The sequence below is a fragment of the Homo sapiens genome, chromosome 1 (genome assembly GCF_000001405.40).
Source record: "Homo sapiens chromosome 1, GRCh38.p14 Primary Assembly".
In the NCBI taxonomy this organism is placed as follows: Eukaryota; Metazoa; Chordata; class Mammalia; order Primates; family Hominidae; genus Homo; species Homo sapiens.
In genome coordinates this window covers 230,657,544-230,673,998 of record NC_000001.11, presented here as the reverse complement: position 1 = coordinate 230,673,998, position 16,455 = coordinate 230,657,544, and the positions used below count along the sequence as shown (strand labels likewise).

Here is a 16,455-nt window from a genome sequence, read left to right as displayed (position 1 = left end):
AATGTTCTATTTTAGCAAAACTGGGAGTTTTGTAGCTAAGTTGCCATGTCAAAACGGGACTTAACATTCTGGTAAGTATTAAAATAAATTTTTTTAAAGTTTTCATAATTTTCCTGCTTAACAAAAATTATCAAGACAGATAAGTTATCAAGGAAGCTTTGCTTCACTGTCCAGGAAGAGCTAGCAAATAATGTTATTATAGTTTCACCTAAGTATTGTTAGGAAATTACTGGTGGGGGTGGAGGAGGGCCAGGAAGGGGAAAGAAGATGACTGCCTCCCATATATCCAATTCCACACATCATATTATACACTTCCAAATAATAGGAAGAGCAGGCTCTGTTAAGGTATCTAGAGAAAGAAAGCACAAAATTGAGGACTCCAAACTACAGATATACATAATGTAATCACTATTAAATGACAACATTTCCTCATTCCCAAAGTTAATGTCTAATCAAATCCCCAAAGAGAGAATGTAAAACCTGCAAGATTAACAGTTGATGGATTAGAAAAGCTCATCTGTATTCTCTGGAGGAGAAATCACGAATGTTGTTGGTGTTGCCAGTTATAAAGCTCATGAAGGGTGGCACATGATAAAAGAAAGGAGTGACAAGGGGAGCACCAAGCTGGAAATCTGAAGCCAGGAGCCGAGCAAGGGAAGGAAAGGGATATGCAGAACCTGCAACACAGTGACAGGCTAGCGGCAGATGATGATCTCGCAAGGTACAGTTCAGATTCCTCAAATCTCTAAGCCTTCTACATGAATTCCCCCACACTAAAAACTGTGGAAAAGATCCACTAAAGCTTTGAAGCTTGACATCTCTGGACCCAGACTGGCCCTGTCAAATCTAATGGCTGATTGTTTCATATCTATGGCTTCATTTTACATCATGATTTCTACTATGTTCTTATCCCCAAATCCAACTAAATCCTTATGATTACTAAACAAAAGTAGCAAAACTAGACTTCATCTTAGGTGGTACAGAGGAAACAGAGAGGGTACTGCAAAGGCCAAGCAGCATATTAATTACCCCATATTTCTGCAAAGAACAAAAACTCAAGGCCAAATACATTGCTTGCTCCATGAAAACAGAGACCTTATTTGCCTTTCGATCATTAAACATAGTTAATTCTTTCATTTTGCAAGCACTAACTGGGCAGCTGCTAGCTCTAAGACACTGTGTCAAGAGGCAGGGGAAGGTGTGAGCAGCGGAGAGGTGATCATAATGCAACATGGAAATCAGTACTCAGCAGACCCAAGAGCAACACATCCTGCAATCCAGAGGACATGATGAATGCTGAACATTAGGAGAAAAAATGGCCTTTTTTTTTTTTTAAGATGGGGTTTTGTCATGTTGCCCAGGCTGGTCTTGAACTCCTGGCCTCAAGCGATTCACCTGCCTTGGCCTCCCAAAGTGCTGGGATCACAGGTGTGAGCCACTACGCCCGGTCAAGGATGGTCTCTTGAAGGAGGTGGTATCTGAGCTGGAGCTTCATGTGGAGAGGCAGTTTGACAGGAAAACAAAGGGCACAGGAAGGGGAGGGCAGGCAGAGGAAAAACGCAGAAGCACGTGAGTACAAGGGAGCTGGGGAAAGGCAGCTAGCACTGTGTGGCTGGAGCATCCAGGGCTATGGAGGGAAAGTTTCTACAGTGGAGAGCTACCAGGCAAGAACAAAAAGGGCCTCATGCCCTGCTTCGAGAAGCCTGGATCTTCCTCCATGCGCACTGAGAAGCCACTAAAGATTCATGAAGAAATCTATGAATCTCAGATTTCTGGGTAAATGTGACAGTCAGAAGCCTAGACTAGAGAGGGAGAGACTGGAAGCAGGGAGACAGGGTGGGAAGATTCTATTATTGTGGACAGCAGATGACAAGGCCTGGACTGGGACAATGGCAATGGTGAAAAGTAATGGGATATTTATGAAAGAGAATCAGGAAGTCATGGAAACTGAACAAAAGGAGGAAAAATTGAAGATGAGTTCACAATTAGTATAAAACCTGTTGAAATAAACTGAATTAATATTTATAGACAGATTATGACATATTAGAATCATGGAAGGAAAGCAATTCTGACTTCAAACTAAATTTAGGAAAAAGTGCAGAGAAGAAGAAAGGCTAGGCTTTGGATTCGGAAATGTGGTCTTCAGTCTCAGCTTCATCTCAGTTTCCACAACTTTGAAATGAGGCTAATGGAATCTGCCTCACAGTATCACCAGTAGAAACAATGAAATAACAAGATTCATAATGGATTCATACAAGACAGTTCATACAAGACAGTCATCGTCCATCGTGCACCTGCAATTAGCAGGTGCGGTCACTGAAAGGGAGGTGGGGGTCCACACAGGGTTGTTTAAATTACCTGGAGATGGCACCTCCTGTGACTTCTCGAAGAAGGCGGCAATGGTGAGGAACAAACTCCAGGAGTTTATTATACATGACCTGAAGGCCATTGGGATGAGATTCAACAAACTGCTCTATAATCACCTATTAAAAGAAAAATCATTTTTTAAAAAAGCATTTAAAAGGGAAGTACAAACGATCTATTTCAGAGAAAACAATAAAGAAAACTTTACAAATCTGCTTCCTCACACTCACCCTCCTCCCTGTGACACATTTTCTAAACAGTGAAGTAAATAACAGGTCACATTCAAAACTACTTCCTTGGATTAGGCTGTACAGATACAACTGTGGGGGAGACATGGGCTGACAAACCATGCACTCTCATCTGCTTCCCTGGGAGTCTGAAAATAAAATAACAACTTTTAAAAAAAGATTTAAAGCAGAGCACATGATTCGCCACCACAACTCCTCACTGTCTTCATCCTGGCCTTTTTTTCTACCATCATTCAGATTAGGGAAGGGTTTGAGGCAGAGAAAGACAGAAGAAAATATATTAGTTCATTATTTTATTTTTTGTGATAAAATTGGGAGACAAGAATGATATGACAAGATAAGCTGAGTTTAAATAAAACACAATGTGGCTACTGAATTTAATATGCCACTGAAAGTTCAAATAGTTCTTTAATTTAGCACACTAGATTCAGTTCCGTGAAAAAGGAATAGATTAGTGACTAAAATATTTTCATCGGTTGGGCGCAGTGGATCACGCCTGTAATCCCAGCACTTTGGGAGACCAAGGCAGGCAGATCACTTGCGCTCAGGAGTTCAAGATTAGTTTGGACAACATGGCAAAACCTCATCTCTACAAAAAAAACATTAGCCAGGCATGGTGGTGTGTACCTGTAGTTCCAGCTAATTGGGAGGCTGAGGTAGGAGGACTGCTTGAGCCCAGGAGGTTGAGGCTACAGTGAGCCATGATCATGCCTCTGCACCCCAGCCTGCGTGACAGAGTGAGACCCTGTCCCCCAAAGCACAAAAAAATTTTTTCACTTATTGACAAAGAAATAATGTATGTAATTTTTTCACCCCCATAGAGACAGCTATGGAATATAACATGATATAAACAGAGAGAACTGAAATATCATTTATTTTTAGTAATCTTAACAAGGCCAAAATAATTATTAAAATGAGTCCCTACATTTCATTTTTATCATTGGGAGTCTCAACTTTCCACTTTAAAAAATAAAAGACTTTCACCCTGAAATCATGTGAGTATAATCTTTGTATTTACTAACAGTCAGAACATTCATACTGACAGGACACTGGAGGAAAGTCCCCAAACACCGAGGACGGGCTCAGTGACTTCTCTCAGTTTGAAGCAGACAAAGCTGCTGTTTTTGTATGTCAGAAACTGTTGAATATCAGCAACTTTATATGGCACAATCTATACTCTGGCTGCTCAGAAGTGGGATATACTTGTTTCCTACATTTTAACTATATCCTACTAGGTGAAGGATACTGCATAGCCAAGTTCTAGATTTAAGGTATTACTTGGCTAATTTGCTATAAAAGCCCTTGATCTTTGAATATTCCTCCTCTCACCTTCCTCGTCCAGCAAACTCCTCTGTATTTTTCAAGACTTGGGCCAAATGTCATTTATTCCCTGAAGACTTGAGGGTACCACTGTCTACCCCACTCACACACCTTTCCACACTCACAGCACTCCCTGCACCTTCCTCGTACACTGCAGTGTTGTCACTGCTTAATTGCCTTAGTCCACCCACAAGACCAGTGATTTGAAAACATTCTTTTAACAATTACTGAGGAACCATCGCCTCCCATAAAATTGACCTAAAAGCACGTGGATGCCCTTGAATCTCGCCCTTGAAGCCTGAGCCGCAGCATTCCTAGGACACCTGAGACGGCACGCCCAATTCCTGGCATCGTAACATTACTTCCCAACTATAACCCATGGAGACCAATCCTTCCTTATAGCTGGTACTGTAGGAACTGAGAATCTTTCCAGAAAGATCTCTGTTCTCTCTTCTTATCTTCCTCACACCCAGTAAAGAGTCAAAGACAGAACAGAAGCTCATGAATGTTTGTTGAAGGAGGTACACAGACCTCGTCTATGTATGGTTTCACTAGTACTTGGCCAACTAAGGCCTCCGCGTCCCGTGTCTTGTCAATCGTGGCGTAAGTCCGCAAGCAGTGCCGTATTATATCGACGTCAGACGTCTGAAGGCCTTCTAATAGGAGACCTTCCAGTGACTGCTGTAACATGGCTGTAATGCCAGCTATACGCTGCAAGAAAAGGTGGGTAAATAAAAAAAAAGCTCTAGTTGTAACAGTTTCTGAAACTGCAAGTAGATATATAACAAGCCTCTTACACCAACAGATAATGACATATATAAAATCAAAATAATAACTTTTCCTGGAGAATAACAATGAACCCCTCACTCCAATCACTTTATAAGTAAATCTCTGCTTCATCAAAGAAGAATTTAGACAGAATTACAGAATGAGAAAAAAGTTACCTTCCTCTTAAGCTACGAAGTCAATCTTGAGGAAACATCATGGATTTAAAATCCAATTAAGGGCTTTGGATAAATTAATTGTCTACATCATATAAGATGTCCAATTCCATGAAATTCAGAATTAATTTTACTCTTATCATCTGGAGAATGTGACTGAGTCTTTACACAAAATCTATAATGTGTGACACTTAGGAAGCTGGCGCCCAAAAAATTAAAAATTGAAAAAAAATGCAAGGTTAGCTTCAAAACCCTGTAGATCAACAATATTACTAGTTTAAACCAGAATTATTTAGCAAGTCCCTAAACACCAAACTGTGGAAATCCAAAACAACACTTACCGGTCTTACTTTGTCCAAAAGAGGCATGCCTTTGCTTTGAACAGCATGAAACTGTAACTGATTAAATTCTGTGGCAATTCTCTCCAAAATTTGTCCAGTCAAAAGGGGGCTAGTAGAGAAAACAGTTATAGAAGTGTAACCCCTAAGGTCTCTATTTCCACGAGAATACATCACACGCCTGGCAGTGAGAGACTTTCATACCCACTGTATTTTGACTTTTGTCAGAGTGTTTTATGTGGCCACCTTGTTACAAGGTGAAAGCTAAAGCGTCTTTTGTGCCATCAGTCAATGTTCCCCAGACGCCATATGCACAGCATGTTCTAAGTGCACCGGGGAATCTGTTGAGTACAAGCTGCTGATGCTGCCTGGCCTTGACCCACAGGGACCAGACAGCAGCAGGGCTGGCTAGGCCTGTGGACATGCAATTATGTGTTTCTGCCACCGACTCCAAGCTCTCCCATTCATGACCTTCTTTTTCAGCTTTAACCTCCCTTCTATTTCCCTCTTCCCCCTCTCCCCTTTCCCCTTCTCCCTCCTTATCTTTTCTTTTTCTTTCCATCTCATTTCTTATAGCTGGATCCTTTCTACTTCTCTGCCTGCCTCACTCTCCTTGCTAAAATACCTCTAGATATTTCTAAAATACCAAATATATTTGTCTCCTCAATGAATGAAACTGACTCTCCAGCAGCAATAAATATCTCAAAATATCTTATTTTAAATTTAAATAGTAATAACTTACTTTAAAATTACATTTACCAAACAGCAAGAGCAGTCAACCTACATGCTGTGGGTCCTAGTGAGAGGGCATTCTTTACGTACCTGGCACAAAATATAATAAATGCACTTTTTCCCCCCAAACATATTATAAAATGTCAATATCACTCAAAAGGAAGTAAAATAGCAGAGGAGAAGTATAAAGGCATAATCACTTGCTGTGTATACTGAGGCATCCTGTGTACACTGATGGCTCATCACCAGTTAGGGAGGAAAAATGTCCCTATCATGAGGACATATAAAATGCTGCACTGAGACCATCAGTGGTCCACCCAGTTCTGTATTTGTAGCATCCAAACTAGTTTAGAGGAACAGGAACTGCCCAGTGTGACCAACCAAAAAGGGAAACTCTGTCTTGAATATCCCTAACTGTTTCCTGAATAATCTCGTGTGAATTAATTATTTATAAATTATCTAAATGTTTCTTGGCTTAACAAGCATGGTATATCTACTATTCAGTAATATTGCCCTGGTTTTACCTTCACTACAGCTCAAATTTGCAGATCTGAATTTAAGAAAAGCTCCTCAAAGACGATTCGGAGCAAGGAAGAGTGCAGTGTCTATTATACTGAATATAACATACTGAATATAATATAATACAATAATATAAGAGTATCTCTAGAAACAGACATCACTGAGGTCATCAGAAAAGCTCCTCAAAGATGATTCGGAGCAAGGAAGACTGCAGTGTCTATTATACTGAATATAACATACTGAATATAATATAATACAATAATATAAGAGTATGTCTAGAAACAGACATCACTGAGGTCATCAGAAGCCCGTTCCCCACTAGTGGGAGACGTTTGGTTATCTTTTCTTAGGTACCTACTAGTTCCAGACACTGTGGTGTAAAGATGTCAGGGGCCTTATAGACTGAGAAGGCATGCAAGCCAATCAACAGTTCCAGTCTCACCGTTAAGTTGTCTAGGGGATGACCCGGAGGCCCGATGAATGCATGGAGATGGAGCATCTAAATCTGAAAGGTCAGGGAAGACTTGCTAAAAGAGGTGGTCTTGTAATTGAGCTTTATGGAAGGGAACTCTTGTAGTGTCTTGTTTGTACTTTCTCTCACAGAACTGAGTGAGACAGTTTTAAAGAAAGCAGAAGGGATCAACAGTATCCCACACAAAAGAGAAGAATAAATTTTACAAAACAAATCCATATCGTTTTATAACCTGCTTTTTTTCCACTTAGCACAGTATTTTTAAACTTTCTATACTTTAAGCATGTTTTGAGCTAGATTTGGATGGAATAAAGAGAAATCGGGCAGGTGAAAGGGAGGTGGAAGTTAAAGGAAGGGCTTTTAGTACAACAAATGGCCATACATAGTAAAATTAAGGAAGCGTAAGTCAGCAATGTTCAGGGCAGTCAGGGAACCAAAAGTAGTTCTGAATAGCTTTAGTGAAGAATACAGAAGTGGCAAGGAGCAGCTTGGGAGTTTAAGATTTACCTTAAAAACACTAGGAAACCATTGTTTCCCAATCACATAGTAAGATGTGATTAGACAAATCTAAAAGATCCATTTGGCAGCTAGGGTTAGTTGTCCTAGAGAAAATGAGAGGTCAGTCAGGAGGCCACTGCCTGAAACGAGGCAATGGGAGAACTGAGAGGGGGAGGCAGACATCTCTCAATCTCAGAGACACTAGAGCAGCAGAGTCTCCAGGGCTTGCCTAGTGAACGCCAGAAGGAGATGAAGTTTAAAAAAGGAGAAAATGACTCCCCCAAGATGTCTAGCCTCGTTAGTGAAGGAAATAAAGGCACCGTTTCCTAAGACAAGGAATAAAAGGGAGGAGTAAAATGTTTTTGCTGGTGGAGAGAGGCAGGGAAAGAAGATGAGAGCTCAGTTTTCAACATGATGAATGTGAAGTGCCTGGAGAACGTCCACTAAACTCCCCGCAGTCAGCAGACTGATGAGTCTGAGGACTACAGAAGTTCGTCTGCAGATAAAGAGATCAGCATCCAGGAGGCCATTAAAACCATGGGGTTGGATGAGGTTACCCAGAAAGTGCTGATCAAGAGCACAGTCCCAAGAACAGTGCCCTGGAGAAAGCTGGCATGAAAAAGGGCAGTGGAGTCCATCAAAGGAACAGAGTAGGAATGGGGAAGGAGGAAAAGAAAATGAGGAGGCAGGTATCACAGATGCCAAGTGAGGACATAGTTGGGAGGGGCTGTCAATGCTGTTGAGTGGAAGACAGAAGCAGAGCAGTTAGTGGAACAGGGCTCTGCTGGGCTCTCAGAACTGACACTGATGGGGACTCTGATGAGCGCAGATGAAGGGGAACAGAACGGACAGAAGCAGAAGTACTACAGGCTGAAGAAAAAAGATGGCAGCGATTGACCACTTATTTATACATCTCGATCAGGAAAGAAAGTAGAGACCTAGGACATGAGAATAATTTCCTTTTCGGATGCCTCATCTCCTCATCTATAAAATGAGAGAAACACAGCATACTGTCTCTACAGTCTCTCCAAATCTAAAATTCTGATTCCTAAAATTAAGAAATCCAACTTGTCTTGATAATACGATCAGGACTTTGAACTGCAGGTATATTCCATTTGGTCCTGGTTGGTTTTCCTGTAGCTTATCCCATATTAGTCAAGGAAAAGTATGATGGCTATCAATGTGACTTTCAGAGATGCTTGTGTTAGGCTCAAACTAGACATGTATGAGGGTCTAGTCTATGGCTACCAATCCTGCAAGTGGAGTTCCTATTAGCCTTATATGAGAGATGACAACACCAAGACACAGAGTGAAGTAACCTGACTCAGGCTACCCAGCTGGTACATGCAACATAAGCCCATGCTCTTTCCACTGCACCATGGAGTTTCCCATTAATGTTCATAATGATCCATTCAATTCATTTTCTGAGTCACTCAACTACCTGACTGATTTTAAATTCAGTGTGGGAAGGTAATAAGACACTACAGTATAACAAAGGAAACAGTCATCTTTTGCTTATTTTGCAAGCTTTTTCTTTGCTGTTTATAAATTTCAGTGAAATATGTCCTGTACTATTTCTTAATAACACTCGTGCATTTTGAACCTCAAGATACATCAACTGGAATACTCTGGGCCTGTCTAAATAAGATGACTGCTATTCCACACCTTGAAGGTCAGTAGGGATTTCACTAGTCCATGGGTAAGGCAATTTCAAAAATAAAAACCTTCCACAGAAAGTACACGTTCTCTGACTCCCTGAAAGGTGCTGTGTTGGAACAGTGGCCTACGACCATCAAGGCTATATAATAATATGTATAAGCTTTACCATTTCATGCACTCTGCTTTGCTTGAGCTACATTTAAAAACACTAAGCCATAGACTGGGATTTTCTTCTTTATCAGAAATGAGTTCTAACTAAAAAAGTTTTTACTCTGGATGTGAAGTATTAATTTACGAGTTATTTAATAAAAAATACTTACCTGCTTGCTTCTAGTGCAGAGGTTTCTTTAGAACTTTGAGAGTTTAAGATTTTTTCAATTTTCTCAACTGACCGAATAACTTGTATAAGCCTCAATACACACATCTATAAATAAAAATTAAGGAAAAAAGTTATTGTCATGTTTAATCTTAATTTTCTTATTTCATCATCCTAAGTACAGGAAAATACAAAGTCAAAAGTCAACGTAAAATTACCTATAGCATTCTATATTTTTAGTATTTCTACATAACACAAAATTCCCAAGAATGCAAATCTTTTGGCTTTCTAGAACAAACATATTTCAATATTCTATCACAATTTCAGAATTTTTAAAAAAACTTTTTTTTTTTGGTTTCTTATATTATATCCTTATTCCTTCTTTCTTTTCCCCATCTTTTTTAGGACAGGGTCTCACTCTATCACCCAGGCTGGAGTGCAGTGCTGTGATCTTGGCTCACTGCAGCCTCAACTTCCCAGGCTCAAGTGATCCTCCCACCTCAGCCTCCCAAGTAGCTGGGACTATAGGCACACACCACCACATCTGGAGAATTTTTTTGTATTATTTGTAAAGACAGGGTTTTGCTATGTTGCCCAGGCTGTTCTCAAAGTCCTGAGCTCAAGCGATCTGCCTGCCTCAGCCTCTTAAACTACTGAGATTACAGGTGTGAGCCACCACACCTGGCCTCTTTCCCCTATCTTATATAAACCTTTATTTTGGTACTACATTTATGTTCGTAAGGTCCTTTTTTTATGTTCTTAGTTTCTGATCATATTTGTCCTCTTCATTTACATGTGCATGATATACCAATAAACGTTAAGTGCCAATTCATTAAAGACATTTATTACACAAGGCAGATATTATCAAGGAACATTATAAAAACTCATTGTTAAAATAACAAAAATTAAGTCATTCATTAAATAAATAGTTACAAAGCATCTACCATGAACCAAGACATTCTTCTACACATTGGGGATATAAGTGGATAAAACAGGCAAAAATCCCCTTCTCATGAAGTGGACAATCTTTTCTAGCAGTGCACTACATTCTTGAATCTTTGGACAAAAGCTGAGAAGGGATCTAAAGGAGAATTAAACAGAAGATCTCTAAAACAGGCTTCTCTCCCTTGAGATTTTAATAAGTGTGCTTGGGTACTAAAGTTATCAAAAGAAAAATAAATACATAAATACATCTAATAAATACATTTATTTATTTATTTAATATAAACACTTTAATATAAAAGAGACACATCACACTCCTCTCTGCAAAGGTATCAAGAAGAGTAAATCAGACCATATGCCTGAAAGTGCTTGTTACTACAAGGTGCTACAGTGAATCAACGATTTAATATTGTAATATTTGAGTATACCTTTTTTTTCCTAATGTCCTCTTGTTTAGACATTCGTTCATCAACTGCCCGAATTCCTTCACTGACAGACGATCTAAGGCTCTTTAAAAGACAAAAAAAAAAAGTACTGCAGAGATTGTTTTGTAACATTATGAAATTTACACATTTAATTCAATTCCACAGGACTTAACACCTACAGGCCAGTATTACACAGATATTGACAAATTACAAAATATTAGACACAATTGCTGTTTGTGTCTCAAGATTTAGGGGAAAATGACATATAAAGCCAAGGTCATGCAAGATTGGCTGCCAAAAGAAAATTAATATATATACAATGAGCATCACAGGTGGTCAGGGTAAAGAAAGGATAACCTGAGTCAAAGTATAAGGGTGTCTGGTGGGGGAGATGAGACTTGAGGTAGATTCTAAAAATTTGTGGATGCTGACAAGCGTAGAGAAAAGATTATCAGAAGACAAGGCAGGAAGATAGAACAGTAATGACATATTTCAGGACCAGTGAGGAATACATCCGGGGGTACTGCAGGCATCAATTTGGACAAAAGTAGAAATAAAACAGGAAGGGTTAATTCAAGAGGGCTATGACCAGATAAGACTTTAGACCAGATTCTACACATTTTAAGTACTAATATATCATGAAAAAGTTGTTTTGGGAAAATTCAGAATCAAGAAGTCAAGAACAGGATGCAAGGAAAAGGAGAGGTCATAAGTGGAGAAACATGTCCAGAAGCTAATGAATTAATCAGAAATTAGGGCCAAAATGAAAGTAATGGAAAAACTAGAATAAACTGGAGAAATCACAAAAATTCTATAGAAAAATGAATTCATTCATCCCACAAATGTTACAAAATACCTATTAAATGCCAGCTATTGTGCAAGCCAATGAGGATGCAATGGTGAACAAGATAGAAATAGTCTCATTTCTCAACGACTGCAGAATCTCACAGAGTAGCTTCATGAGTTGGAAGCCAAAAAGGAAGAACAGGTCTACGGCTAAACCAATCAGGAAAAAGGTGGCTATAGAGACAGCTGTGGAAGGAGGGAGAGCATATGGTGCTGGCAGGTGGCAAGGAAAAGACTAGAGCCTGCAGGTGAGACAGCAGTTAACAATGACAGAGCAGAATTCGGGAGAGTGAATCCACCTCCATGGGAGAGAATTTGGAGAGGAGAGAAGAGGAGAGGAGAGGAGGGAGAGGAGAGGGCTGAGGACTGAGGGCTGAGGCTCGGAAAACACCCTATCTCCAAGGGTGGGGGTAGGAAGAGGTACACTGAAAAGAAGGCAGGAGAGCCACCCAAGAGCCATGTAAAAGCCACCCAGAGTGTGGAATCCAACAGTGGATCACAAAAACTATTTTCCTTCCATGCCAAGAAGAAGTACTTTAAAAGCTTTTTTAAAAAATCAAACAAGACATAAACATTTGAAAATATTTGCTAGTTCAAGGCACAACTTGAGACCTCTCTTTTAAGAATTATTTCTTGCCTGCCATTCTTATGGACTTCTAAACACTGACATTTCTATTATTTTGCATTTTTTTTTTCAGCACTACACATGCACTGAATGTTTACTTATGTCACCTACTGTGAGCATACTATGTGCCAGGGACTGTCTTAGGGGCTAAGTGCATAAGGCTACTCAAGCTGCGCATGATCTAATGGTGACATACACAGGTAATAATGGTGCAATCAACGAAGTTTATGACAGTTCATCAATCCTAAGACAGCATGGAAGTCGGGGTGCCTGACACAGACTGTGGGGTGGACCAGCAGGGACAGGACAGGGTAGCACACTTTTCTGTTGAAAATGATGCCAAAACTCCCTTCTCTACTGTTCATCCGGATGGAGTCCCTGTCTCCAATGGCTTAGACATGGGGAGTCCCAACTCACAGCAGACATTATCTTACAGAAACATTAAAATAAATACAATTAGTTATTACATTAATTGTATATTATCCTTTGGTTACATTAGGGTTTACAGAGCTTCTGTGGACTAGTCTAGAAACCTAACAATATATAAAATATTATTTGGGAAAATATTTGTAAAACTACAAATTTTTAAAATAGAAGCTATTCTTAAATTAGTGACTACCTACATATGAGTGAGCTGACAGTAACAAGTTGAGTTTTCAAATAGCCTTCTTCTCCTCCCCCAACATTTTAAAGCTGTCTACTCTAAGAATCTGTCATATTCAAATCAAACATAACATTTTTTTGGTTATAGTATCACACGCAAAAAATAGAGAAGGATTTACAACTTTTCTGAGGATGAGTATTATAATTACTAAACATTCAAAAAACAAAAATCAACAACCTAACAGATTAAAGGAATTTTTTTTTGGAAGGGCAAACAAGCATATCATGCTTTAGGGTAAACTGTTTGATGTTATTCGGGAAACTTACCAGAACCTCTTCTCGTAATTGTCCCAAAGGCACAGAAAGCTGGTTGAGGGCTTTGTCCATGCCAACCTAAAGGCAGAAATCATGTTGGCACACACACCTCACAATCAAGAGTAACAGCTAAGTATCCATTTAATGATCAATGTAGTGCTAGACTTAGGTTATTCTTTCTGTACAACAAAATGAACAACCATATATTGTTAAGTAACTAAATAACAAATGTTATTTTATAATAAATATTGCTGATAGAATGTGAAAAAACCTTTGATGTACATGAAAACTATAAAAATAAGAGAAGTCATAATAAATAAAAGCCTCCTTAGGCACAATTTGCCTCTGAATAAAATATTTTAATGAATTTGAGAAATTTTAACTGGAGATAAAGAGCTATCTGTCTGTAATTTACAATATTCAACCAGTTGATGTGAAAGTCTCAAGGAGTATATCTATCCTAACCATTATAACCCTTGAGAAAAATCAAAATGAAATAGAATGGAAATATAATTTTCTAGGTTTCTAATCCTACTACAACATTTATCTTAGATGTACATTTCCCAAATGCAAATATGGCTCATTAATTTTAATGCTTCTTAAAATTTCCATGGAGATGGCTACTTTCTGTACTTCTTTGGAGAGAGTTTTAAAAGTAAAATAAAATAGGAACAGGATGACCAAAAGGCAAACTTTGGGAGTATTAAAATATAAGCACTTCTAACCTACTTTTATGAACAGCTGATATGCTCGTGACAAACTATTCTCACATTTTATAAAACCAAGCCTCCTAAAGATCAATACTGGCCAATGTTCTCTCAATCTAGCTGTGGCTAGCGTATGTATCTGAAAGTAAATTAAACACTTCCTTAAGAACAGTTGATATTTGCTCTTGCAAATTGGTCTAAACCAGAGAGATTTCATGGTAATCAGCTGCTAATGAAAACAACCAGTCTGCTACTGCTAGCCTTTGTTTTTCACTAATAATATCAAATTAAAAAAATATTTAATTTAGAATAGTCTTAAGTAAAAAAGCAAAATTGTATATCAAGAAAGTTTGGTTATTTTATTGATGACATTAGGGATCTCTTCAAATTTCTGTGAGGACATCAACTAAAAGGTTTCTAAAAACACACAACACTTCTAAGAATAAGTATGAGTGAGAAAGAAATTGTATGTATGTAAATGGGACCGTGGATTTAAAGTTTACCAAGTTTGTTGAAAGATTGACAAAATCTGCATAATCCTTGTTGATGAGTTCGACCATGGCTGTTTTAAGAAGTTTATAGTAGAGCTCCAGGTCATCTCTCAGTTCTTCCAGCTGGACCCGCTTCCTACAGTCAGACACAAAATGATCGACATCGAAATCTTCCTGAAAAATAAAACCAGAGAAGAAAAAATTATAGCAATGATATCACAGTGACATATACAAATGAAATGGAAGAAAGAGTAAGAAAGCCCATTCCCGTCATTTACAAGGCCATGCTGCTGCAGGAAGAAAGTATCTTGGCTTATACATGACAGTATGAAGGTGTTTGTCCGCTTTATAAAGGTGCCAAGAAGGGTGGCCCCTGACTGAGAACATCCTCTTCTGTTGCCTAAAATTCTAAAAGTGAACTTCTTTTTCAAAACAACACAATTCAATCAGGTTCTTCTCAAAACAGAAACGTTTCCCCTTAATTTTAAAGTAACAAATGTTCAATGTAAAACTTTCAAACAACAAAGAATTATATTAAAAATATCCATCAGAGTAAAAAAAAAATCACTGAAATTCTCATGCTGTAGAGATAAGCACTATTAATCTATTAATTTTTTTCTCTACCTAACATTGTGATTCACATCCTTCCAGATGTTTTTCTATGTGTCACATGCACACACAGAATCTTAATATTCATGCTGTTATGTAAACTGCTTTTCCCCATATAACAATACAACTTGGATGTCTTTTCATAATCCATGTAAATTTGCACTCATGTTTTATATGGATGTTGAGTATTCTATTGAACAAGATGTTCAGGAGCTTGCGGAGTGCACTGCAGCTCAGCAAGGCCGCTGTGGCCAGACTACCAGATTTCTCCTCTCTGGGCAGGGCATCTCTGAAAAAAAAGGCAGCAGCCCCAGTCAGGGTCTTATAGATAAAACCCCCATCCCCGTGGGACAGAGCACCTGGGGGAAGGGATGGCTGCGGGTGCAGCTTCAGCAGACTTAAACGTCACTGCTTGATGGCTCTAGAGAGAGCAGCGGACCTCCTAGCACAGTGTATGAGCTCTGGTAAGGGTCAGACTGCCTCCTCAAGTGGGTCCCTGACCCCCGTGTATCCTGACTGGGAGACACCTCCCAGTATGGGCTGAGAGACACTTCACACAGGAGAGCTCTGGCTGGCATCTGGCAGGTGCCCCTCTGGGACGAAGCTTCCAGAGGAAAGAACAGGCAGCAATCTTTGCTGTTCTGCAGCCTCCACTGATGAAATCCAGGCAAACAGGGTCTGGAGTGGACCTCCAACAAATTCCAGCAGACCTGCAGCAGAGGGGCCTGACTGTCAGAAAGAAAACTAACAAACAGAAAGGAATAGCATGTCCACTCAAAGACTCCATCCAAAGGTCACCAACATCAAAGACCAAAGGTAGATTAATCCACAAAGATGGGGAGAAACCAGCACAAAAATGCTGAAAATTCCAAAAACCAGAAGGCCTCTTCACCTCCAAAGGATCACAACTCCTCACCAGCAAGGGAACAAAACTGGACGGAGAATGAGTTTGACAAATTGACAGAAGCAGGCTTTGGAAGGTGGGTAATAACAAACTCCTCCAAGCTAAACGAGCATGTTCTAACCCAATGTAAGGAAGCTAAGAACCTTGAAAAAAGGTTAGATGAATTGCTAACTAGAATAACCAGTTTGGAGAAGAATATAAATGACCTGACGGAGCTGAAAAACACAGCATGAGAACTTCGTGGAGCACACACAAGTATCAATAGCCGAATCAATCAAGCGGAAGAAAGGATATCAGAGACTGAAGACCAACTTAATGAAATGAAGTGAGAAGACAAGATTAGAGAAAAAAGAATAAAAAGGAAAGAACAAAGCTTCAAGAAATATGGGACTAGATGAAAAGACCAAATCTGCGTTCGACTGGTGTACCCGAAAGTGACGGGGAAAATGGAACCAAGTTCGAAAACACTATTCAGAATGTTATCCGGGAGAACTTCCCCAACCTAGCAAGACAGGTCAACATTCAAATTCAGGAAACATAGAAAACACCACAAAGATGCTCCTCGAGAAGAGCAACCCCAA

The 16,455-nt window shown here is 39.3% G+C and overlaps 1 protein-coding gene across 3 annotated transcripts in view; it reads right to left on the bottom strand.

Annotated features, from left to right (window-relative positions):
* The window catches only part of COG2 (component of oligomeric golgi complex 2), a 51,502-nt gene that overhangs the window by 19,984 nt on the left and 15,063 nt on the right, over window positions 1-16,455 (bottom strand). For 2 of the 3 annotated variants that reach the window (NM_007357.3, NM_001145036.2), the window contains exons 2-8: window positions 14,374-14,535; window positions 13,176-13,241; window positions 10,778-10,858; window positions 9,412-9,515; window positions 5,215-5,323; window positions 4,464-4,643; window positions 2,359-2,483 (exon numbers count right to left, since the gene is read on the bottom strand). In NM_007357.3, the coding sequence (NP_031383.1) occupies window positions 2,359-2,483; window positions 4,464-4,643; window positions 5,215-5,323; window positions 9,412-9,515; window positions 10,778-10,858; window positions 13,176-13,241; window positions 14,374-14,535 (827 nt within the window). Of the gene's footprint in view, window positions 1-2,358; window positions 2,484-4,463; window positions 4,644-5,214; window positions 5,324-9,411; window positions 9,518-10,777; window positions 10,859-13,175; window positions 13,242-14,373; window positions 14,536-16,455 lie in introns of those variants that run through there. The other variant, XM_047449445.1, reaches the window with a different exon arrangement.